General features: G+C 50.5%; 1 protein-coding gene across 33 annotated transcripts, besides 4 other annotated features; it reads right to left on the bottom strand.

Moving 5' to 3' along the window:
• Positions 1 to 1,495: 1,495 nt before the first annotated feature.
• On the bottom strand, positions 1,496 to 22,042 carry HROB (homologous recombination factor with OB-fold). Of its 33 annotated transcripts, none has more exons than NM_024032.5 (10): positions 21,827 to 22,042; positions 18,719 to 18,769; positions 14,945 to 16,114; positions 12,928 to 13,011; positions 11,195 to 11,335; positions 9,308 to 9,419; positions 9,034 to 9,119; positions 8,561 to 8,686; positions 6,031 to 6,139; positions 1,496 to 2,101 (listed from the first exon to the last, which is right to left on the bottom strand). In NM_024032.5, the coding sequence occupies exons 1-10, from the start codon at positions 21,827 to 21,829 to the stop codon at positions 2,040 to 2,042; spliced, it is 1,944 nt and encodes a 647-aa protein (NP_076937.2). In that variant the 5' UTR covers positions 21,830 to 22,042; the 3' UTR covers positions 1,496 to 2,039. The 33 variants fall into 33 exon arrangements, with proteins under 33 accessions (NP_076937.2, NP_001164722.1, XP_011523489.1 ...); NM_001171251.3 differs by having other exon boundaries at positions 9,308 to 9,416; XM_011525187.3 differs by having other exon boundaries at positions 12,928 to 13,008.
• Positions 4,083 to 4,242: an enhancer, noted in NCBI's record as "active region_12254". NCBI's record gives its function as "activates an Ori minimal core promoter by ATAC-STARR-seq in GM12878 lymphoblastoid cells {active_cell/tissue: GM12878}" and the evidence as "EXISTENCE:reporter gene assay evidence [ECO:0000049][PMID:35858748]".
• Positions 21,217 to 21,511: a silencer, noted in NCBI's record as "tiled region #5; HepG2 Repressive non-DNase unmatched - State 1:Tss, and K562 Repressive DNase unmatched - State 1:Tss". NCBI's record gives its function as "represses a minimal TATA promoter and a strong SV40 promoter by Sharpr-MPRA in HepG2 and K562 cells {active_cell/tissue: HepG2 | K562}" and the evidence as "EXISTENCE:reporter gene assay evidence [ECO:0000049][PMID:27701403]".
• Positions 21,758 to 21,817: a silencer, noted in NCBI's record as "silent region_8576". NCBI's record gives its function as "represses an Ori minimal core promoter by ATAC-STARR-seq in GM12878 lymphoblastoid cells {active_cell/tissue: GM12878}" and the evidence as "EXISTENCE:reporter gene assay evidence [ECO:0000049][PMID:35858748]".
• Positions 22,118 to 22,287: an enhancer, noted in NCBI's record as "active region_12253". NCBI's record gives its function as "activates an Ori minimal core promoter by ATAC-STARR-seq in GM12878 lymphoblastoid cells {active_cell/tissue: GM12878}" and the evidence as "EXISTENCE:reporter gene assay evidence [ECO:0000049][PMID:35858748]".

Here is a 23,837-nt window from a genome sequence, read left to right as displayed (position 1 = left end):
GGCTGCAGTGAGCTATGACTGGGCCACTGCACTCCAGCCTGAGTGACAGAGAGAGACCCTGTCTCAAAAAAATTGCTGGGCATGGTGGCTCATGCCTGTAATCCCAGCACTTTGGGAGGCTGAGGTGGGGGGATCACCTGAAGTCAGGAGTTTCAGACCAGCCTGGCCAACATGGTAAAACCTCGTCTCTACTAAAAATAAAAAAATTAGGCTGGGCACGGTAGCTCATGTCTGTAATCCCGGCATTTTGGGAGGCCGAGGCGGGTGGATCACCTGAGGTCAGGAGTTCAAGCCCCGCCTGGCCAACATGGTGAAACCCTGTCTCTACAAAAAATACAAAAATTAGCTGGGCGTGGTGGCAGGCGCCTGTAATTCCAACTACTTGGGAGGCTGAGGCAGGAGAATCACTTGAACCCAGGAAGCAGAGGTTGCAGTGAGCCGAGATCACACCATTGCACTGCAGCCTGGGCGACAAGAGTGAAACTGCATGTCAAAAAAAAAAAAAAATGAGCTGGTGTGGTGGCGTGTGCCTGTAATCCCCAGCTTCCGGAGGCTGAGGCAGGAGAATCTTTTTTTTTTTGAGACGGAGTCTTGCTCTGTCGCCCAGCGCCCAGGCTGGAGTACAGTGGCGTGATCTCGGCTCACTGCAACCTCTGCCTCCTGGGTTCAAGCAATTATCCTGCCTCAGCCTCCTGAGTACCTGGGATTACAGGTGCGTGCCACTACGCCCCGCTAATTTTTGTATTTTTAATAGAGACGGGGTTTCACCATGTTGGCCAGGCTGGTCTCGAACTCCTGACCTCATGATCCGCCCACCTCGGCCTCCCAAAGTGCTGGGATTACAGGTGTGAGCCACCGCGCCCAGCCGGCAGGAAAATCTCTTGAACCTGGGAGGTGGAGGTTGCAGTGAGCGGAGATTGCGCCAGCCTGGGCGACAGCGAGACTCCAGCTCAAAAATAAATAAATAAAATAATATTAACTGGGAAACTGGGTGTGGGGTATGTGGGAACTCTCTGTACTATCTTTGCAATAAATAAATCTATAAATTTAGAAGTCTAAGGCCGGGCATGGTGGCTCACGCCTGTAATCCCAGCACTTTGGGAGGCCAAGCGGGGTGGATCATGAGGTCAGGAGATTGAGAATATCCTGGCTAACACGGTGAAACCCCGTCTCTACTAAAAAAAAAAAAAAAAAAAAAAAATCAGCCGGGCGTGGTGGCAGGAGCCTGTAGTCCCAGCTACTTGGGAGGCTGAGGCAGAAGAAAGGCATGAACCCGGGAGACGGAGCTTGCAGTGAGCCGAGATAGCGCCACTGTACTCCAGCCTGGGTGACAGAGCGAGACTCCGTCTCAAAAAAAAAATTTTAGAAGTCTAAAAGTATATAAAAAAGAAAAAAAAAGAGAAAAAGAGTTGCCTGAGCCCTTTTGTGGCCACACAGCACTGGCAGGGCAGTTAGGCAGGAGCAGCAGGGGGTGGAAAAGAAAGGGAGGCAGAAGAAGCAGGAGATGCTTTATTTCAGAACAAGGTACAATAGGCCACACCTCTGTCCTGCACCTGGGAACCTTGGGCATGGATGAGCAGAGCAACCACAGGTCTGAAGAGACAAAGCAGAGGAAGCCTGAGCGTGCTTCTCCCCTGTGTGGAGGGGCAGGCCGCCATTGTTGTGGTGTGGCTCCTTTCATCTCCTCAGCTGTCCAGGGACTAGGGTATGAAGGGACAAGAAAACCAGGCCCAATATCCTCTAAAATTAAGCTGAGGCAGGAGAGGGACACCCAAGGCGAGGGTGACAGGCCTTTCTTGTTGGCTGGAGAGCCAGTCTCCGGCCGGATTCTGGTGCCAACGGCAAAGGAAGGCCCAAAGTGAGGGCAGCGCAGAGATGAGGGGGCTCTCAGGGAAAACACCCAGGGTGGGAGCAACCACAGAAGCCCCCCGGCTGTGTCCACTCTCCAATCATGCTGGCCTTCTTCTCCCCCTTGGATGTGACCAGACACATGCCCAGAGCTGCCTGCTCATGGTGGGTTGTCCTGCGTTGGGGCAGTCTCAACTACTGGTCCCACAGAAGAAGTCTTCAGGAAGCTCACTCAGGAGTCCATCCAGGTCATCTACAGAGAGGGGAATGATGGGTAGCCTTAGTGACAACATCAGCATTCCATGTGACTCAGGTCCAAAGTTTCTGCCCTTCAGGAGGGCCTGGACCTGGCTGTATAGCTGGGCAGGCGGCTCCTCCAGGCAGTGGTACCCATGCCAATGGGCCTGAGGCTGGCCTGACTTCCATCTTCCCTCTGCTCCCCTTGTACCCGTACATGACAAAAGGCGGGGGCGTAATCCCTGGGCCATTCTGACGAGGAAGAGGATTCCCCTGAGCCTCACTGATTCCTCTCCTTCCATCCAGTCATAGTGCCAAACAAGAAGGCTTCAGAGGTCACCTAGTGCAACTCTCATTGGCTGAAGGAGAAAGAGGGCTGGGAAAAGCCATCAGATGTGTTCAGAGTTACACAGTTCCTTAATTGGCTTCTCATCTGACAGTGGAAAATATCACCCCCTTCCTCAAAGTGCCTGTGTAAGACTACAGTTCTCAGATGTGGTACTTATGTCCGAGAACTTGGACACAGCTGACCTCGATAATCCCTAGCAATATTATTTACTAGCAGCAGCTAATACTGACTGAGTGCTTGCTCTGTGCCTCAATAAACATTCATAGGTAGGGCATCTCCAGTTAGCTCCTGTTATCAACCCCACTTTACCTGAAACAAACTTTTTTTTTTTTTTTGAGACAGAGTCTCACTCTGTCGCCCAGGCTGGAGTGCAGTGGCGTGATCTCGGCTCACTGCAAGCTCCGCCTCCTGGGTTCACACCATTCTCCTGCCTCAGCCTCCTGAGTAGCTGGGACTTACAGGCGCCCACCACCACGCCTGGCTAATTTTTTATATTTTTAGTAGAGATGGGGTTTCACCGTGTTAGCCAAGATGGTCTTGATCTCTTGACCTCGTGATCCACCTGCCTTGGCCTCCCAAAGTGCTGGGATTAGAGGCATGAGCCACCATGCCCGGCCCACCAGCCCTAATATTCTATAATCAACTCTCTGTCACTACCAGCAACCTTCTGGTGATGCCTTGGCTTGTCTCACAAAGAAAGAGTGCAGGCTTCCAGGCAATGCAAGATTCCAGGATAAGAGACATATGCTTTTTCACAAGATATAATGGCCTTTGTGGTTTATCCATTGGTATACTGTGAATTAGGTAGTGTGAGAACACCTATCCATAATTGTGGGTGGAAACCTACCCAGGTGCCAGGGCAAGAGACTGAAGGCACAAACTGTTCCAGTATAATAAAGAAAACAGAATAAGAAAAGTTATACTAGAAATAGGATATAGAGATGATTATATATGGATTTTTTTTATTTTTGAGATGGAGTCTTACTCTGTCGCCCAGGCTGGAGTGCAGTGGCACGATCTCGGCTCACTGGAAGCTCCGCCTCCCAGGTTCATGCCATTCTTCTGCCTCAGCCTCCCGAGTAGCTGGACTACAGGCGCCCGCCACCACGCCTGGCTAATTTTTTGTGTATTTTTAGTAGAGACGGGGTTTCACCATGTTAGTCAGGATGGTCTCGATCTCCTGACCTCGTGATCCGCCCACCTTGGCCTCCCAAAGTGCTGGGATTACAGGAGTGAGCCACCGTGCCCAGCTATATATGAATATTACCAATCATTAGTTTTTAATACTAATCTCTGTATTATCATTATAACCGAGAAAAAAAACAGCCAGTACAGAGTCAGGAGCTGAAGGCACATTGTGAGAAGTGAGCAGAAGACAAGAGTGAAAGTCCTCTGTCACGCCCTGATAAGGGCTGCCTGATGACACCTTGGTCTAGCAGTAGCGCCAGTGCCTGGTAAGGCACCCGTTACTTAGCAGACCTCAGTCTTGCGGTAGCGCCAGTGCCTGGGAAGGCAACTGTTACTTAGCAGACTGGGAAAGGGAACTCTCCTTGGGGGAGTTCGAGAACACTGCTCCACCAGCTCTTGTGGGAGGCCTGACATTAGCCAGGCCTGCCCACAATCATCTGGAGGCTTCAACGTCTCCCTGTGATGCTGTGCTTCAGTGGTCACGCTCCTTGTCCACTTTCATGTTCCGCCTGTATACCTGGTTCTTCTTTTAAGTTCTTGGAAGATAGCAGTAGTGAATTAGTGAAAGTATTAAAGTCTTTGATTTCTCTGATAAGTGCACAGAAAAAACGCTGACATATGCTGTCCTCCCTCTCTGCTTCAGCTACCACAAAGGGAAAGGCCCCCATCACGTGGACACGTGACTTGCTTGACTTTATCAATCTTTTGAGATGACTCACACTCCTTACCCTGCCCCCTTGCCTTGTATACAATAAATAGCAGCGCATCCAGGCATTTGGGGCCACTACCGGACTCCACGCATTGGTGGTAGTGGCCCCTTGGGCCCAGCTGTCTTTCCTACTTTCTCTTAGTCTTGTGTCTTATTTTTCTATAATCTCTCGTCTCTGCATACGAAGAGAAAACCCACAAGGCCCAGTAGGGCTGGACCCTACATCTGGCACCCAACTCTTGTCTTCTGGTCACTTCTCACAATGTCCCTTCAGCTCTTGACTCTATATTGGCTGGTTTTTTTCTCAGTTATAATAATAATACAGAAATTAGTACTAAAAACTAATGATTGGTAATATCCATATATAATCATCTCTATATCCTATTTCTAGTATAACTTTTCTTATTCTAACTATTTTCTGTATTATACTGGAACAGTTTGTGCCTTCAGTCTCTTGCCTCGGCACCTGGGTAGGTTTCTGCCCACATATAATCCTGTGAACTTTGGGGCCAGACAGGATTGAATTTTTGGAATTGAAAAGCTAAAGACCAGGCTGGGCACGGTAGGTCATGCCTCTAATCCCAGTACTTTGGGAGGCAGAGACAGAAGGATCGCTTGAGCCCCAAGAGTTCGAGGCCAGCCTGGGCAACATGGCAAAACTGTCTCTACAAAAAATTTAAAAATTGCTGGGCATGGCCGGGCGCGGTGGCTCACGCCTGTAATCCCAGCACTTTGGGAGGCTGAGGCGGGCAGATCGCGAGGTCAGGAGATCGAGACCATCCTGGCTAACACAGTGAAACCCCGTCTCTACTAAAAATACACAAAAAATTAGCTGGGCATGGTGGCGGGCGCCTGTAGTCCCAGCTAATCAGGAGGCTGAGGCAGGAGAATGGCATGAACCCGGGAGGCGGAGCTTGCAGTGAGCTGAGATCGCACCACTGCACTTCACCCTGGGTGACAGAGCGAGACTCCGTCTCAAAAAAAAAAAAAAATTGCTGGGCATAGTGGCACATACCTATAGTCCCAGCTACTCGGGAGGCTGAGGTGGGAGGACTGCTTGAGCCTAGAGGCCGAGGATGCAGTGAGGCGTGTTCATAACACTGCACTCCAGCCTGGGCAACAGAATGAGACCCTGTCGCAAAAATAAAAATTAAAGTAAAAAAAGCTAAAACTAGATCCTGAATGGTGTTAGTTTCACCTGGGTGATGCTGCCTTCTGAGGAAGCAGCTGGCCCAACCACAAGGGGTCTGCATTTGGGCCTCTCTGGTTTGTAGCCTGGTTTTCCCAAAAACCAGTGGACGTCTTGACTCCTCAGCACTCCTCTAAGCTTACTCAGGATGGGAAATCTGCCTCTGTGGTCTGGTCATCAGCCCACAGAGGACTCAGAGTGTGGCACAAAGATAGCGCCTGTCCATCTGGACAGGGGATGGTGATGTTTCCTCCTTGTGGCTGATGGCACATAACCTGAAAATGGGGGAAACCTGTGGATGACACTTTGTTTTACATGGCCCCATCACACTGTTAACGAGTTTGTGGCCTGCAGCCTTGCCAAACAAGACACTGTATCTGATTTCTGTAAGATTATATAAGATCCAAAGATTCATGGAAAGAGGAACAAGATATAGCCAGGAAGATTCTGGTTCAGCTATTCAACAGGAAATAGAACCTCTCTTGCTCCCAGATGGGCTGACTGCTTTACCTGCTTCTGGGAGTTCTTCCTCAGGGGACGCCTCTGCCTCTAGGTTCTGTGCTGTTCTGAAGCCTTCCTCGGGCTTTGCAGCCACATCATGCTGGAAGCTCCCTGAATCCTGGGGACAGAGGATCTGGTTACCAATGCCTGTGTCCCTGAAATCCCTTCAGATGGCACCACCTCTACCCAGACAACCTCAAACGAACAGTGTGGGGCTCAGGAAAGAAACATGATGGGGCCAGGTGTGGTGGCTCACACCTGTAATCCCAGCCCTTTGGGAGGCCGAGGCGGGTGAATCATTTGAGGTCAGGAGTTCGAGACCAGCCTGGCCAACACGGTGAAACCACATCTCTACTAAAAATACAAAAACAGAGCCGGGCATGGTGGCACACGCCTGTAATCCTAGCTACTCGGGAGGCTGAGGCATGAGAATCGCTTGAACCCAGGAGGCAGAGGTTGCAGTGAGCCAATATCGTGCCACTGCACTCCAGCCTGGGGGACAGAGTGAGACCCTTGCTCCAAAAAAAAAAAAAAAAAAAAAAAAAGAAACATGATGGAAGAGTATGGCAGAGGCCAGCCACCCAGGCCCATGCTGAAGGGAGGCAGCTGAAACACCAAACACCCAAAGCAGCAGATAATAAACAAAACAAAAAACAAACCTCTTTTGGCTGATTTGCTTTCCTAGTTCTGTTGGTATCTAATATTTTAGAGATTCTCTATAACTAGAGCAGAGAGTGAAGAGGCCATTCAGAAATACATTGAAGAGTTAGCCTGAGATTTAAAATTAGTTGTTAACAATCCCCAAAGGAATATATAGCTAATATATGGGCAGGTAATTAAAACTGGTAATTAAGGCCAGGCACGGTGGCTGATACCTGTAATCCCAGCACTTTGGGAGGCCAAGGCAGGAGGATCACTTGAGGTCGGGAGTTTGAGACTAGCCTGGCCAATATGGTGAAACCCCATCTCTACTAAAAACACAAAAACTGGGCCTGGCACGCCTAGTTCATGCCTGTAATCCCAATACTTTGGGAGGCTGAGGCAGGTGGATCACAAGGTCAGGAGTTCGAGACCAGCCTGACCAACATGGTGAAATCCCGTCTCTACTAAAAATACAAAAAGTAGCCGAGTGTGGTGGCACACACCTGTAATCCCAGCTACTCAGGAGGCTGAGGCAGGAGAATCACTTGAACCCGGGAGGTGAAGTTGCAGTGAGCTGAGAACATGCCACTGCACTACAGCCTGGGTGACAGAGTGAGACTCCATTTCAAAAAAAAAAAATAAATAAATACCGGTAATTAAATGGTTAACCATGGTTAGTCCTAGGAAATAGGAGTGGGGAAGGGTAGGACCCATTTTTTGCTTATTCTGTGCTATTTTGATTTATTTCAATAAGTATAGATAATTTGAAATTTAAAAGAAAAATAGGCCGAGCACGGTGGCTCATGCCTATAATCCCAGCACTTTGGGAGGCCAAGGCAGGCCAATCACCTGAGGTCAGGAGTTCGGGACCAGCCTGGCCAATATGGCAAAACTCTGTCTCTACTAAAAAATACAAAAAGATTTAGTTGGGCATGGTCCCAGCTGTTCGGGAGGCTGAGGTGGGAGAATCGCTTGAATCTGGAAGGCAGAGGTTGCATTGAGCCAAGGTCACGCCACTGCACTCTGGCCTGGGTGACAGAGCAAAACTGTCTCAAAAAAAAAAGAAAAGAAAAGAAAGAAAAAGAAAGGGTTTAGAAGTGGGGTGATTTTGAGAGAATGTGGAGGGGCTAAGGGGAAAGATGAGGAAAATGGAAGTGGAAAGTTGGAGCTTAGATGAAAACCTCTGTCTAAGATGACTAGAGGTCATCAAGTCAAACGTACTATAGATGAAGCTGTTGCAAGGGAGGCAACAGGACTTGCCCAAGGTCACAGTACACGTTTTCAGTACACAAGATCCTAGGAAGGTGGTGGGGGCAGGGCAAGTCAAGCCCAGGCTCTACACTCTCAACCTGGAGTGGATCTGCCTGGAAGCCCATGCTTACCTCCCATAAATGCCAAATGCTCGTCTCGGTTCCTAAAGAGGATGTCCCCACCAGTGCTCTGTGCAGCTTCCCCCTAATTTAGCAGAGGCAGATGCCAAGAGGGAAGACACAGAGCAGGTGCTGGCTCACCTGACAGGCCATTTGTAGCTCACTGTTCTCCACACTGCCACCTGTAGCAGATCTGACCCTCGGTCATTTACTGCCACCACCCCCTGGTGGGCCCTCCACTTGGTTAGTTCTCAAGTGACTCCTATCCTCTCAGATGTTCAAGCCTGCCATCAGATGCTCAGGGATCACCAAGAAGCCAGCTGCTCCTCTAGGTACTGTTACTGAGCCATCTGCCAGGCGGCTGGATGAGGGATAGGAGATGGTCCTGTCCCCAAAGATACCTTTTCACCTCAGAGCACCTGCCCCCTTCAGACCTCTGCTCCCCAGGGTGGAAGAGAGGAAGAAATCAGAAGATCCAGGCAGAAGGAGGGCCTTACCAGTCTCCCGTTTCTTCCTGCTCCTCTTACCTTGGGGAAGGGCTGAGATGGCTTGAGGAAGCTCCCATCCCCAGAATCCGGGCTGTAAATATGGACCAGGTTGTTGGGTGTCACGTTGAGGTAGTGATTTCGAAGTGAAGGAGAAAACACTCCAATCTGGAGTCAAGGAAAGGGAAGGTCAGTGTCCTGATGGAGCACTGGGAGCTGCCAGATGGACACCTGGCTCCCACCTGCCTTTCACTTGGTGTCCTCTGCCTAGCCTTGGTGCCAGAAGAGAACCATTTGCCACAATCTCCCCTTAACACAACCCTCCATCCCTATCCACCCTGAAGAATGGGGGCCAGCTCAAGGGCCACAGGCCTTCCCTGAGCTCAAGCCAGGGCCTAGCAATGGTTCAGCCACTCCGTGCCTGGTGTTGTAGAGGAAGGCAGCCAAACAGGTAAGGAGACAGACACTGAGGGCTCTATCCGGGGGGCAGTGGTGTGGAGAGCTGCTCCCCATACCTGCTTCAGCAGCAGCACTGAGCCAGGCTTCAGCTCATTCTGGCACGTCTCCAGCAGCAACCTGTGCACCGTCCCCTGCATCTCTCCTGCAAATACCACATGGCCCATCAGTCTCGGGGTCAAGGGCAGCACAGCGACTGGTATGGGCCCTGGCTGGGAAGTGGGCTGCTCACTGCCTCAGTTTTCCTGTCTGCAAAGGGAGAGGGTGATTCCACCTCATTTCCTGGCCTCAATGGAGCCCACTCACCAGACAACCTAGGACCTAATTCCTTACCCGTGGGGTCCTTGAAAACCACACTGGCGTCCATTGTGCTCCGAGTCAGGGACTTGATCATCACCGCCATGTTGGGGACCTTGTTCCTAGGAAGCTGCTTCAGGGCTGCCTGCTTACAAGGAGAGGCATATGCTGAGCCTTCCACGGCCCACTTGTGACTTCCCAGGTCTCCAAGTGTGCCAGGGCAACCGGGGTTAGGAGGGGTCAGAGTATAGTTATAGTGATGATCTTCTTTGTGGAGGACAAGGAGGTACCCCATCTCTCTCTGACAGACCTAGAGCTGGGAGGTCCTTCATTTCTCTCCCCTGCCTCCGTTCTTTTTTATTTTTTGAGAGGGAGTTTCGCTCCCAGGCTGGGTGCAATGGCACAATCTTGGCTCACTGCAACCTCCACCTTCTGGTTTCAAGCGATTCTCCTGCCTCAGGCTCCCAAGTAGCTGGGATTACAGGCGCCCACCACCACGCCCGGCTAATTTTTGTATTTTTAGTAGAGACAGGGTTTCACCATGTTGGCCAGGCTTGTCTTGAACTCCTGACCTCGTGATCCACCCACCTCGGCCTCCCAAAGTGCTGGGATTACAGGCATGAGCCACCGCACCCGGCCTATTTTTTTATTTTTGAGATGGAGTCTCGCTCTGTCGCCCAGGCTGGAGTACCATGGCACGACCTTGGCTCATTGCAACCTCCGCCTCTGGGTTCAAGCGATGCTCCAGCCTCAGCTTCCTGAGTAGCTGGACTTACAGGCGTGTGCCACCAAGCCTGGCTAATTTTTGTATTTTCAATAGAGGGGGTTTCACCATGTTGGCCAGGCTGGTCTCGAACTCCTGACCTCAAGTGATCTGCCCGCCTCAGCCTCCCAAAGTGCTGGGATTACAGGCGTGACCCACCCCGCCTGACCTGTTTGGTTTTTGTTTTTTTCTTGAGTCGGAGTTTCACTCTTATTGCCCAGGCTAGAGTGCAATGGCACATCTTGGCTCACCGCAACTTCTGCCTTCCAGGTTCAAGCAATTCTCCTGCCTCAGCCTCCTGAGTAGCTAGAATTACAGGCATGTGCCAACACGTCCGGCTAATTTTGTATTTTTAGTAGAGACAGGGTTTCTCCAGGTTGGTCAGGCTGGTCTTGAACTCGCGACCTCAGGTGATCCGCCCGCCTTGACCTCTCAAGATTATAGGTGTGAGCCACCACGCCCGGCCTTGGGTTTTTTTTAAAGGAGACAAGCTCTCGCTCTATTGCCCCGGCTGGAGGGCAGTGGCACGATCATAGTTCACTGTAGCCTCAACCTCCTAAGATCAAGTGATCCTCTGGCCTCAGCCTCCCTAGTAGCTGGGACTATAAGACATGTGCCACCACATCCAGCTGATTTTTTTTTTTTGTATTTTTTTGTAGAGACAGGGTCTCGCTTTGTTGCCCAGGCTGGTCTCGAACTCCTGACCTTTGTGATCCTTCCACCTCAGCCTCCTAAAATGCTGGGATTACAGGTGTGAGCCACTGTGTCCAGCACTTTCTTTTGTTTATATGTGTTTACACAATGTTCCATCATAACAGTCACAGGCAGGGATATGTTGGCACATGTACTGGCATGTCTCTGCACACAACCCTTAACCACTAGGGAGATTTGAGGGTGGCAGTGTGCTCACCCCACCCCACCCAGGGCCTGGAAGTGCAGAGGCATACCATAACCCACTCTCTCCTTCCACCTGGGCCCAATCCTATGGATGACAGTGAAAAGGTAGGTAAGTGGAAGATACAACCAAAGGGGCTTCGTGCTGCTACTTGTATAGGGTACGAGGGAGCAAACAGCCCCTTCCTAAGGTGGAGTAGGGCAGTAGGTCAGAGAGAGGGAGAAAAATGGTCTTTCCTTTGGGTCTCAGCACCCAGAATCCTTACCTTGCGCAGCACCATGACAATGCTGTAGGTACAGAGGAAGCAGCTAGGGTCTCTCTCATCCAGGCCTAGCGTGGATTTCATGGTCAGCCAGGGCCCTCGCCCAAAATCCTCCTCCACAGATGCCTGGGAACTAGCAACAATCTGGTACCACAGAGCAGAGGGGGAGCCTGTATGAATAGGTCTACCTTGCTACAGACTCTTGATTGAAACAGGGTGGAAGGGTGAGAGAGGAAAGGCAAATCCCCTCGGAAAAACTGTAGTACAATGGCCACAGTCTCTCCTCTCATTTATCTCCAAGGCCAGAAAATGGTATGTGACATCTTTTTTTTCTCTTTTTCTTTTTTTTTTTTCTGATTGCTTTGGCATTTGAAGCACGTGAAAATCTTGTCGCGTATCACAGGTTTCATTCAGCAGATACTCTTTTTTTTTCTTTTTAAAATCAGGTCCTGTCTGCAGGACTAGGTATGAAAAACAAATTTTTAATAAAATCAGCTCCTGGGCCAGACGCGGTGGCTCACACCTGTTATCCCAGCACTTTGGAAGGCCGAGGCGGGTGGATCACCTGAAGACAAGAGTTCGAGACCAGCCTGGCCAACATGGTGAAACCTCGTCTCTACTAAAAATACAAAAATTGACTGGGCGCAGTGGCTCACACCTGTTACCCCAGCACTTTGGGAGGCCAAGGCGGGCAGATCATGAGGTCAGAAGATGGAGACCATCCTGGCTAACATGGTGAAACCCCGTCTCTACTAAAAATACAAAAATTAGCCAGGCATGGTGGCACACGCCTGCAGTCCCAGCTACTCAGGAGGCTGAGGCAGGAGAATAGCCTGAACCCAGGAGGCGGAGGTTGCAGTGAGCCGAGATCACGACACTGCACTCCAGCCTGGGCAACAGAGCGAGAATCCGTCTCAAAAATAAAATAAAATAAAATAAAATAACATAAAATAACATAATAAAATAAAATAAAATAAAATCAGCTCCTGACTTTAACTGCATTGAAGCAGAAGGCTATCTACGCTTATTTTTTGTAACAGACTCAAAAAGTCTTAGGGGTAGGGATCCACCACATATATTTATAGGCTTCCAGAGTGGCTTAGCCATTTTGAAACCAGTCATATTCTATTTGGCATGCTTCTAGCTTTAACAATTAACCTTCTTACATTAATACATGCTTTGAATCCAGAGAGTATCTGCTGCTTTGGATCTGAAATGGACTGGCAGATCTGCGGAGCTACAGCAGAGAAAAAATACTGGGGAGAATTAAAAGCAAAACTGGGTTTGAGGGCAGAGCAGGTCAACCAGAACCCCAAGGAGAAGGGAAGCAGGGTCTCACCCACCAAAGGGAACCCAGCAAAGGCAAGAGAAGGCAGATCCTTCCCAGCTCAGTTCTCAGAAACCTGAGAGGAAGGGCTCCTGAGACACAATCTCATAATACTTATCACAGTCTCCTCCCCCAGGGGAAGCTGGAGCTAGCTGGGCCTTTATTTCTTAGATGGGAAAGAAGGCTGGACCCATGGCATCAGATAATACCTACCTGGCACCAGGACAGGCCTCACTTAATGCCAGTAAAATTGCTGCCTCCCCCAACTACCTGCCTCAAATGCCTTTTAGTGTGTGACACCAGCAAACAGGCCTAGCAGCATCAGCTCTTGATTCTTAACTCCTGAAACACACAGGGACGCCCCTCACTCTCAAATCACACCCAGAAAGTTAACATTTGCATAAGTTACCTCTGTCTGGAATTTAGCCAGAGCACCATGGGTTGGAGTTTGGGGCGCGGAAACCATGATGTCCTCCAGACTTCTCCCACTCTGCTAAGAGGGGAGGGAAGGAGAAGATGAGAGCAAGCTTAGCAGCTGTTATTTACAAGTACAGCTTATTGTCTGGTTTACATAATGAGTTCAGGAAATGATCAGGGACTATTAACACATATTACATCTCTCCTAACAAAGTCTCAGGAGCCTCTTTGGCAGCTCAAAAAAGATACTTTGGGGATTGGTTTGAAAACGTGAGGAAGCCGGAGCTCGCCCAGGTGCAAAAACCAGGGCTGCCTGAAGGGGGCAGTGACCCAAATAGAGAGGCCTGGCTGGGCGTGGCGGCTCACACCTGTAATCCCAGCACTTTGGGAGGCTGAGGCGGGTGGATCACCTGAGGTCAGGAGTTCGAGACCAGCCTGGCCAACATGGAGAAACCCCCATCTCTACCAAAAATACAAAAATTAGCCAGGCGTGGTGGCCCATGCCTGTAATGCCAGCTACTTGGAAGGCTGAGGCAGGAGAATCACTTGAAGCTGGGAGGTGGAGGTTGCAGTGAGCCGAGATTGTGCCACTGCACTCCTGCCTGGACGAGAGAGCAAGACTCTGTCTTAAAAAAAAAAAAAAAGAAAGAAAGAAAGAAAAATTGAGAGGCCTGTGATGAGCAAAGGGGCAGCTTTCCCCAAGTCCTAACCCTTTCCTCCAGGGAGATCCAGCCCAGGAGGAACATAGACGGCCTCTTTGGATATCTGCTAACATGCTAGGGAAGAGCAAGTAACAGGCAGAAATTGTTTCAAACACCCTTAAAATGGGAGGAAGAGGGCACACCTATCACAACCAGTCCAGATCCTCAGAGTCCAATTATCTGGGATCTGATCCAAGACTAGTTTAATCCAAGTCTCACCAGGGCTGTCTCCTTTTCAGCCCCAGCTTCCCCACACCTGCCACAATGAACTGTTCTGTGGATCTGAGAGCACCTTGCTCTTCTGCCTCTGTGCCCTTACACATGCTCTTCCCTGCTTTCCCACTGCCAGAACATCCACAGAGCACAGCGCCCGCTCCGCCACACACCTGTTAACCTCCTACTCATCCATCCAAAGCCCACTCAGCAAGCCTAAGGCAGAGCCAGTGTCTTCCCAGCACCCAGGGAATGACCCCTGTTCACACTGTGTGCTTTGTGCATGTTTGTTTGTTTACATCTGTTTCTTCCATTTCACTGTAAGTTCTTTAGGACAGGAACTGTTTCTTTTAATCTCTGTATTCTCAGTTCCAAGCAAATTGTCCAACACATAAGACCTTAACAAATGCACAAGAATGACTTCCTGCCCTAGTGCACACCTGTAGTCCCAGCTATATGGGAGGCTAAGGCGGGAGAATGGCTTGAGCCTAGTTCATGACCAGCCTGAGCAACATAGCCAATCTCTAATTCTTAAAAAAAGGAAAAGAGGGTCTTCTTAAAAAAAGGAAAAGAGGGTCAGGCGTGGTGGCTCACGCCTATAATCCCAGCACTTTGGGAGGCCGAGGCGGGCAGATCACTTGAGGTCAGGAGTTCGAGACCAGCCTGGCCAATATGGTGAAACTCTGTCTCTACCAAAAACACAAAAATTAGCCAGGCATGGTGGCGGGGGCCTGTAGTCCCAGCTACTCAAGAGGCTGAGGCAGGAGAATCGCTTAAACCCAGGAGGCAGAGGTTTCAGTGAGCTGAGATTGCGCCACTGCACTCCAGCCTGGATGTTGCAGCAAGACTCCATCTCAAAAAAAAAAAAGGAGAAGAAAAAAGAAAATTATGATGTCCTCAGAGCCTTAAGCACTTCTTCACAGTGGATTTTCTAGCATTCAGTTCTTCCCTTTTATTTCTCCTGCAGCTTTGAAAAGCCTCTCTGCACTTCCTTCCTTCCTTCTCTGCAAGAGGGAAGATATGCTAGGGCTGGACAGTGCTGGAACCCTGCTTCTCTCCCTTGCCCACCAAATCCTAGAAAGCCAGCTCACTCACCTGGTGAGGCAGGATCCCAGCTGGGCCAGGGAAACGGCGAGTTTTGGCTCGGGTGGAGGGATGGGTGGGCTGCTGGGGTGTCCGGCTGGCAGCAGTGACTAGCTGCACCAGGTGGTTGGTGACTATGGGTGTCTGCAGAGCTCCCTGGGGACCTTTTGGGGTACCAACAGGAGACCCAATGGAAGACACTGGAGCTTGCGGTTGTAAGGGTATCCGAGGAAATAATCCAGAGCTAGTCCTTGAGGGAGTAGAACAGCTTGAGTTGGGAGTTCGAGGTCTGGGTAAATGAGCTTTGCCACTTAACCAGGAACTTGGAGACTGGAATGGCTGACAAGGGAAACGATTTTGAGGGCTGCTCTGAATGGTCCCTCTAGCAGCTTGGAGAGGCTGAAGTGCTTGAACAGGGGAGCGTTGCGGACAGACTTCCCAGTGGAGTTGCTGAGTGGGAACTGTTAAGGCAGTTGGAACAGGAAGGTGACCCACAGCACCAGGTCTCAAGGGGGGTCGTGGAGTCCTACATTGGATGACAGGATCTAGAGACTCATCCTGGGCGGACATGATACCCGCTTTGTGGATGGCAGGCACAGGCCCCTTCTGGCAAGATCCACTCAGATCAACTACCCGGGCTTTTTTAGCCAATACTGAACCCTCCCGCTGCTGGGCAGGCAGGATTGGTATGGCCTCACTGCTGACTCCACATTCCAGCTCCATGCCAGGCTCCTCCAACTCCATGCTTGCCAGGACTTTATCAAATTCGTCTTGTTCAGGCCCCTCAAAGCCACCAACTTGCTGCTGTTGGCTCTCAAAGGTGAGTAGGGGGTGTAAGGCTGAGGACTGAGGTCTTGCTGTCTCTCTGAGCACTTCTGTCACTGTCACTCTTCTCTGATTGCCAATCCAGCTGCTGGAAGTAGAGACAGGCCTTAGGGGAGCTGCTCCTATGCATGATGGACGGCTGTCAGCACTGGGCGTGCTGGAGGCAGGGAGGCAGAGGTCCAAGTCTGGCAGGCCCAAAGCCTCTGAGGGAGCAGTGGGGTGTAACAGCAGCAGCCTGGAGGACTGTGCCTGCACAGTCTCCTGTGGCCTAGAAGAGACAGGTCTCAGGCGCCCAGCATTCACAGGCAGTGAGCCAGTAAACCGGTTCTCTGCATCCTCCACAGCAGACAAGAAATCCTACAAGGAAGCAGAGATGGTAGGTCTTGGCATCTGGAAATCAAGAACCCCTCTGCTTTTACTGTTCAGGCACATGGCGTGTATGTTTGTGTGTAGATACTTGAAAGAAACCAAAGCATGAGGGTCGGGCATGGTGGCTCATGCCTGTAATCCCAGCACTTTGGGAGGCCAAGGTAGGAGGATCACTTGAGGTCAGGAGTTCGAGACCAGCCTGGCCAACGTGGCGAAACCGTCTCTACTAAAAATAAAAAAATTAGCTGGGCATGGGGGTGCACACCTGTAGTTCCAGCTACTCGGGAGGCTGAGGCAGGAGAATCACTTCAACCTGAGAGGCAGAGGTTGGCAGTGAGCTGAGATGGTGCCACTGTACTCCAGCCTGGGTGACAAAGTGAGACTCTGTCTCAAAAAAAAAAAAAAAAAAGAAAGAAAAGAAAAAGAAAAAGAAACCAAAGCATGAAAGCCAATAGTGGTGTCTCTTACCACCTCTGACCTCACCCATGGCCCTACACAAGGCTCTATCAAAAACACTCCAATCTAAGGCTAAGTCTTCAGGTAACCTCTTTCTTCAGTCTTCATGGGTGGGGAGAGGGGCAGTTAGAGGAGAACAGCAGGAGAAGCAAACGTTCCAGGGAACCAAGAAGTCAGACAAATCACCCTAGGTCACACAACAACCATCTCAAGGAGACCACTTTCTGGTGTCTGGCCTGTTATCTAAACAGGGATCTATCCAGCTGGTCATGCTGCCTGTCCTTAGCTCACTCCTCATCCCCAATACACACTCGTGTGCTCTCTTTCTCTCTCTCTCTCTCACACACACACACACACACACTACACAGAGATAGCTACCCTTCAGTAAGCCAGAGAGGACTTGGAGCCAGCAAAAAAGGCAGAAGTTAAATATAGCTTTTCAGGCAAGCTAAATAAAGTATGGATTCCAGTTGGGAAGCAAGGTGAGATTGACACCTTCAAGAGCAACAGACCTGTTCTGAGGGTGGTTTTGAGTCAGAACTGCTGATTTAACTGACAGGAGGGTCCCCACCACCCCCACCCTCTGCTACTGCACTGGATTGTCTGGGCTACAGAAAGGCTTTTTCCTGCTTTGTGTATTATTAAGTGAGTCCCATACTCAGGCAGGACAACCACAGGACTCAACAATAATAATAATAACCAGAACTATAGCAGTAATAAAATCCTGATGACTCTGGAGGTTGATGGTCTTTTTTCTCCCAAAGAGCTCACTCTCAGACATGACATCATCTGCTTTAGGAAGGGGGAAGGGACTGATCTGCCATTTTCAAGGAACAGAAACTTCAGCTGTCAGATTCCTTTACTCTAATTCCATTACTCACTTAGCAGTCCCATCATCACCTTGTAAGACCCAAGAGGGTCATTTTAACAGTCACTTTTTCAGCCTGTAATCACATATCTCCAAAGCTGAAAGACAAAGACAAGGACACATCTCCTTGACAAAACTGGCAGTTGTGAATTATTTGTAAAAGCAAAAATCAGGACGGGCCCACTGGCTCACACCTGTAATCCCAGCACTTTGGGAGGCCGAGGCAGAAGGATCATTTGAGCCCAGGAATTTGAGACCAGCCTGGGCAACTTAGTAAGACCCTGTCTCTACAAAAAAACGAAAAATTAGCTGGGCATGGTGGCACACACCTGTAGGCCCAGCTACTGAGGAGGCTGAGGTGGGAGGATCACTTATGCCTGGGAGGTTGAGGTTGCAGTGAGCCGTGATTGTGCCATTGCACTCCAGCCTGGGTGACAGAAAGAGATCCTGTCTCCAAAAAAAGAAAGAAGTTCACACAGTGGGGGCTGCCGGGGGCAGGGAGGTGGAGAGCATCAGGAAGAATAGCTAATGCATGCTGGGCTTATTACCTAGGTGATGGGATGATCTGTGCAGCAAACCACCATGGCACATGTTTACCTATGTAACAAACCTGCACGTGTACCCCTGAACTTAAAATAAATGTTGAAGAAAAGGAAAAAAAAGAAATATCCCTGGCTGGGCCATTCCCAGAAATTCTGATTTAATTGGTGTGTGGTAGAGCCTAGACAAGGGTAATTCTAACGTGCGAGCTTTGGATCTAGTCTCACCCCTCATCTTGTGATTAGACAGAGGGAAGGGAAGAACATCTGAGGCAGAAGAGCATCCCTCATATTGTAGAAGAGAAAACAGAAGACCAGAGAATAAAGTAACTTGCCCTGATTCACATAGCCAATTGCTGACCCCTGGCCTCCTGCCATCCAGTAACTATGCTATCTCTTACATGGTTCTGGCTCTACATACACAGCCCTTCCCACTGCAAGTATGTTATCATAGAGGTGAATTAAATCAGCTAGATGACACAGCTTCCAGGAAAGAGCCCTTATAATTTAAAGGTATGACAATTAGGCAATTCATTGCTCTGGTTTTTTGTTTCTAAGACAGTTAAGTAGGTTGTTTACACTTCTCATCACTTCTCAGCACCTCACAGGCAAAAACATACACATGTCAACTAAAAGGAGGCTGGTACAGGCTAATCCAAAATGTTCTGAACCTGAGTGTTTACATTTTAAGACCTCGTCTGCCACCTCTGATCATCAACACTTCCCTACCTCATCTTCAAACTCCTCTTCCACAGCAAACAGCTTCTGCAAACTGCACGCCTGAAAAGAAAAAAAACCAACTGGGGTTGAGAAATACCATTTGCAAGCACATTCTGTCCTCACTCTGCTTCTTCCCAGCACTAACAATACCATCAGGTATATTGTTTTTTGTTTGTTTTTGCTACGGCTGGGAAAGGACTAAGGAATGAGAAGAAATGGGATTTCGTTAAAGACTTAAACAATCTAGGGCCGGGCGTGGTGACTCATGCCTGTAATCCCAGCACTTTGGGAGGCCGAGGCAGGTGGATCTCCTGAGGTCAGGAGTTCGAGACCAACCTGGCCAACATGGAGAAACCTTGTCTCTACTAAAAATACAAAAGTTAGCTGGGCATGGTGGCTCATGCCTGTAATCCCAGCTACTCGGGAGGCTGAGGCAGGAGAATCGCTTGAACCCAGGAGGCAGAGGTTGCACTCCAGCCTGGGCGACAGAGTGAGTCTGTATCAAAAAAAAAAAAAAAAAAGACCCAAGTATTCTAAAAAACTTACTTAGCTGTGTGCAGTGGCTCATTCCTGCAGTCCCAGCTACTTGGGAGGCTGAGGTGGGTGGATCCCTAGAGCCCAGGAGTTTGAGGCTAGGCTGGGCAACATAGTGAGACCCGCCTCTTAGAAAAAGATTAAAACACTTTCTGCCAGGCACGGTGGCTCATGCCTATAATCCCAACACTTTGGGAGGCCAAAGCTGGTGAATCACCTGAGGTCAGGAGTTCAAGACCAGCCTGACCAACACAGTGAAACCCCATCTCTACTTAAAATACAAAATTTGGTCGGGCGTGGTGGCTCACACCTATAATCTCAGAACTTTGGGAGGTTGAGGTGGGGGCGGATCACAAGGTCAGGCGTTCGAGACCAGCCTGGCCAACATATTGAAACCCTGTCTCTACTAAAAATACAAAAAATTAGCTGGGCGTGGTGGTGGGCATCTGTAATCCCAGCTACTCAGGAGGCTGAGGCAGGAGAATCGCTTGAACTGGGAGGCAGAGGTTGCAGTGAGCCGAGATCGCACCACTGCACACCAGCCTGGGCGACAGGGCAAGACTCTGTCTTTAAAAAAAAAAAAATTAGCCGGGCCTAGTGGAGCATGCCTGTGATCTCAGCTACTTGGAAGGCTAAGGCAGGAGAATTGCTTGAACCCGGGAGGTAGAGGTTGCAGTGAGCCAAGATTGCACCACTGAACTCCAGCCTGGGCGACAGAGCAAGACTCTGTCTTAAAAAAAAAAAAGGAAAGAAAGATTAAAAAACTTTCTTGTAACATAATCCACTCAGAACCATCTGCACTAATCCTGGAAGGGAAGAAAGGGGGCAAAGGGAAGGCTGCCTAGGGGAGCAAGGGCAGTTCTCCAGGACTGTGCACATGGGCGTAAACATTTTGTTTTTGTCTTTTGTTTTGAGACAGGGTCTTGCCCTATTGCCCAGACTGGAGTGCAGTGGCAAGATCATAGCTCACTGCAGCCTCAATCTCCTAGGCTCAAGTGACCCTCCCACCTCAACCTCCTGAGTAACTGGGACTACAGGTGTGCACCACCGTGCTCAGCTAATTTTCTTTTTTTTTTTTTCTTCCTGAGACGGAGTCTTGCTCTGTTGCCCAGGCTGAAGTCCAGCGGCACGATTTTGGCTCACTGCAACCTCCACCTTCCAGGTTCAAGCAATTCTCCTGCCTTAGCCTCCCAAGTAGCTGGGATTACAGGCCAAGCCACAATGCCTGGCTATTTTTTTTTGTATTTTTAGTTGAGACAGGGTTTCACCATGTTAGCCAGGCTGGTCTTGAACTCCTGACCTTGTGATCTGCCCACCTCAGCCTCCCAAAGTGCTGGGATTACAGGCGTGAGCCACTGCGCCCAGGCTAATTTTTAAATTTTTATAGATACGGGGCCTCACTACATTGCCCAGGCCAGTCTTGAACTCCTGGGCTCAAGTGATCCTCCCACTGTGGCCTCCAAAGTGCTGGGATTATAGGTGTCAGCCACAGGCTGGGCATGGTGGCTCACTCCTGTAATCCCAGCACTTTGTGACGCCAAGGCGGGTGGACCACCTGAGGCCAGGAGTTCAAGAACAGCCTGGCCAACAAAGTGAAACCTCGTCTCTACTAAAAATAGAAATAAGTTAGCTGGGGTGGTGGTGCCCGCCTGTAATCCCAGCTTGTTGGGAGTCTAAGGCAGGAGAATTGCTTGAACCTGGGAAGTGGAGGTTGCAGTGAGCGGAGATCGCACCACTGCACTTCAGCCTGGGCCACAGAGTGAGACTCTGTCTCAAAAAAACAAACAAACAAAAACAGGTGTCAGCCACGGCCCCTGGCTTGGGCCTAAGGATTTTGCAATATCCCAAAGGTTTCGCCTGACCAATCTTATGTCAAACATAAGAGAAACTACCATAAATCCAAACATGTCTGCACAGTGGCATTGTTTCTGCAAATGAAGCCAGTAGTTTCCCTACCTAATCCAAGGCCCAAAAACTAGGGTCCCAGGAGAGTAGGATGCCCCAGTCCACGGTTCCTTCTTTCTAGCCAGCAGGGCTGCTGTAGCCAGTTCCTGATGAGTGTCAAACCCAGATCAGAGGTGGTGCCTAACCCCAGATGCCAGAGCCGCAGGAGCTACAGCTGGCGATACAGTTCCCAAGACTCTAAGGGTCAGAGTGAAAGGGGTGGGCGGGAGACGACGGTTGCAGTGAGCAGAGATCACGCCACTGCACTCCAGCCTGGGCGACAGAACGAGACTTCGTCCAAAAAAAAAAAAAAAAAAAGTAGAAAGTGTGGGGCGGGGAGGGGAAAGGGATGGACCCAAGCGGTAGTGACGTCTGAGCGCACTGGAAAGGGGGGTTTCCCAGGAGGGTAGGAAGGCAACAGGAGGGAAACTGAGGCCCGGGGGAGGAGAATGCTTTCTCAGGGTCTCCGGCGCGTCCATGACAAGCCCTGACGACAGCCCAGGTCTCCCGACTCCGCCGAACCCCCACCCAGACCCCGGTCCTGCAACTTGCGCGGGCGAGGGGCTGGAACCCCATGAGCAGTTCCGGAGGCCAGGGGGCCCTGCGGCCCGCCAGCCCCCAAGCTGGGCGCGGCATTACCATAGCGACGGCGGGTGGGCCTCGGCGGGGAGGTTGGCCCGGCACCCCGAGTCCGGGGAGTCGCCGGGGCCTTGGACACGACCCAGGTGGAAGTCTCGGACTCCGAGGGACAGTGCTTCCGGGCTGGGGTCAGAGGGATGAGTCTCTGCGATATAGGGAAAGTCGCCAGGAGACTGGCGGCAGGCGCCTTAGGCCGCATTCGAAGACGCCGCCACTGGGGCGTCTCCGCCTTCTTAAAGGGGCAGGCATATTTCTTTCCCGCCGACACAAAGGGCCTTCTCACTGTAGTCTTCCGCTCTGGTCTTAAAGGGGAAACGGATGGGCTCTCGGTCGCCCCCAAGCGGCTCCTCTTCCCAGTCGGCTGGTTCAGCACTGGTTCAGGTGAGATCAAGCATCTTGGCCCCACGATGCCTAATCCTGCCCCCGCCCCTTTCTTTTCCGTTCTTTTTTTTTTTTCTTTTTTAAACCGAATCTCGCTCTGTCGCCCAGGCTGGAGTGCAGTGGCGCGATCTCGGCTCACTGCAACCTCCGCCTCCCGGGTTCAAGCGATTCTCCTGCCTCAGCCTTCGAAGTAGCTGGGATTACAGGCGTAAGCCATGGCGCCCGGCCTCCCTGCTTGACTTAATACTGCTTCAGAGCAAGACTGTGGCTTTTCACCTTTGTGAACCAGCATGTGGCACATTGAAGACACTCAGAAAATGAGTTTGTTTTTGTTTTGAGACTTACTTTACTCCCTTACCCAGCCCGGAGTGCAGCGGCACAGTCATGGCTCACTGCATCCTCCACCTCTTGGGCCCAAGCAGTCCTCCCACCTCAGCCTCCTGAGTAGCTGGGATCACAGGCACACACCACCAAACCCAGTTAACTTTTTTTTTTTTTGACACGGAGTCTCACATTGTTGCCCAGGCTGGAGTGCAGTGGCACGATCTTGGCTCACTGCAACCTCTGCCTCTCAGGTTCAAGCGATTCTCCTGCTTCAGCCTACCAAGTAGCTGGGATTACAAGTGCCCGCCACCACGCCCGGCTAATTTTTTTTTTTTTTTTTTTTTTTTGAGACAGTCTCGCTCTGCAGGACAGGCTGCAGTGCAGTGGCATGATCTCGGCTCACTGCAACCTCTTCCTCCTAGGCTCAAGCAATTCTCCTGCCTCAGCCTCCCGAGTAGCTGGGATAACAGGCATGTGCCATCATGCCTGGCTAATTTTTGTATTTTTAGTAGAGACAGGGTTTCACCATGTTGGCCAGGCTGGTCTCGAACTCCTGACCTCAGGTAATCTGCCCGCCTCTGCCTCCCAAAGTGCTGGGATTACAGACGTGAGCCACTGCGCCCAGCCACGCCCAGCTAATTTTTTGTATTTTTAGTAGAGACAGGGTTTCACCATGTTGGCCAGGATGGTCTCGAACTCCTGACCTCAGGTAATCTGCCCGCCTCTGCCTCCCAAAGTGCTGGGATTACAGACGTGAACCACTGCGCCCAGCCACGCCCAGCTAACTTTTTGTATTTTTAGTAGAGACAGGGTTTCACTATGTTGCCCAGGCTGGTCTTGAACACCTGACCTCGTGATCCACCCGCATTGGCCTCCCGAAGTGCTGGGATTATAAACGTGAGCCACTGTGCCTGGCCTAAGCCCAGCTAATTTTTTTATGTTTATTTGTTGTAGAGATGAAGGCTCCCTATGTTGCCCAGGCTGAACAAGTGTTTGTTGAATGACTTGATGCCATTTGTCAGGAGGGAGTGCGAATGGCTGGGCAACTCAATGCTCACTTCCGCGGTGGCTCTTGCCTGTAATCTCAGCACTTTGGGAGGCAGAGGCGGGCGGATCACAAGGGCAGGAGATCGAGACCATCCTGGCTAACATGGTGAAACCCCGTCTCTACTAAAAATACAAAAAAATTAGCCGGGTGTGGTGGCGGGCGCCTGTAGTCCCAGCTACTTGGGAAGCTGAGGCAGGAGAATGGCATGAACCCGGAAGGCGGAGCTTGCAGTGAGCCGAGATCACGCCACTGCACTCC

This window comes from Homo sapiens, chromosome 17 (genome assembly GCF_000001405.40).
Source record: "Homo sapiens chromosome 17, GRCh38.p14 Primary Assembly".
Classification (NCBI taxonomy): Eukaryota; Metazoa; Chordata; class Mammalia; order Primates; family Hominidae; genus Homo; species Homo sapiens.
This window is presented reverse-complemented; position numbering and strand designations above follow the sequence as displayed.

What these genes read in the sequence shown, in the direction of transcription:
- HROB (NM_024032.5), bottom strand. An exon ending in TGGCTAAATTCCAGACAGAG is followed by an intron (nt 11,336 to 12,927) that starts GTAACTTATGCA and finishes CTGTGGTACCAG; the next exon opens with ATTGTTGCTAGTTCCCAGGC. An exon ending in CATCTCAGCCCTTCCCCAAG is followed by an intron (nt 6,140 to 8,560) that starts GTAAGAGGAGCA and finishes CTCTGTCCCCAG; the next exon opens with GATTCAGGGAGCTTCCAGCA.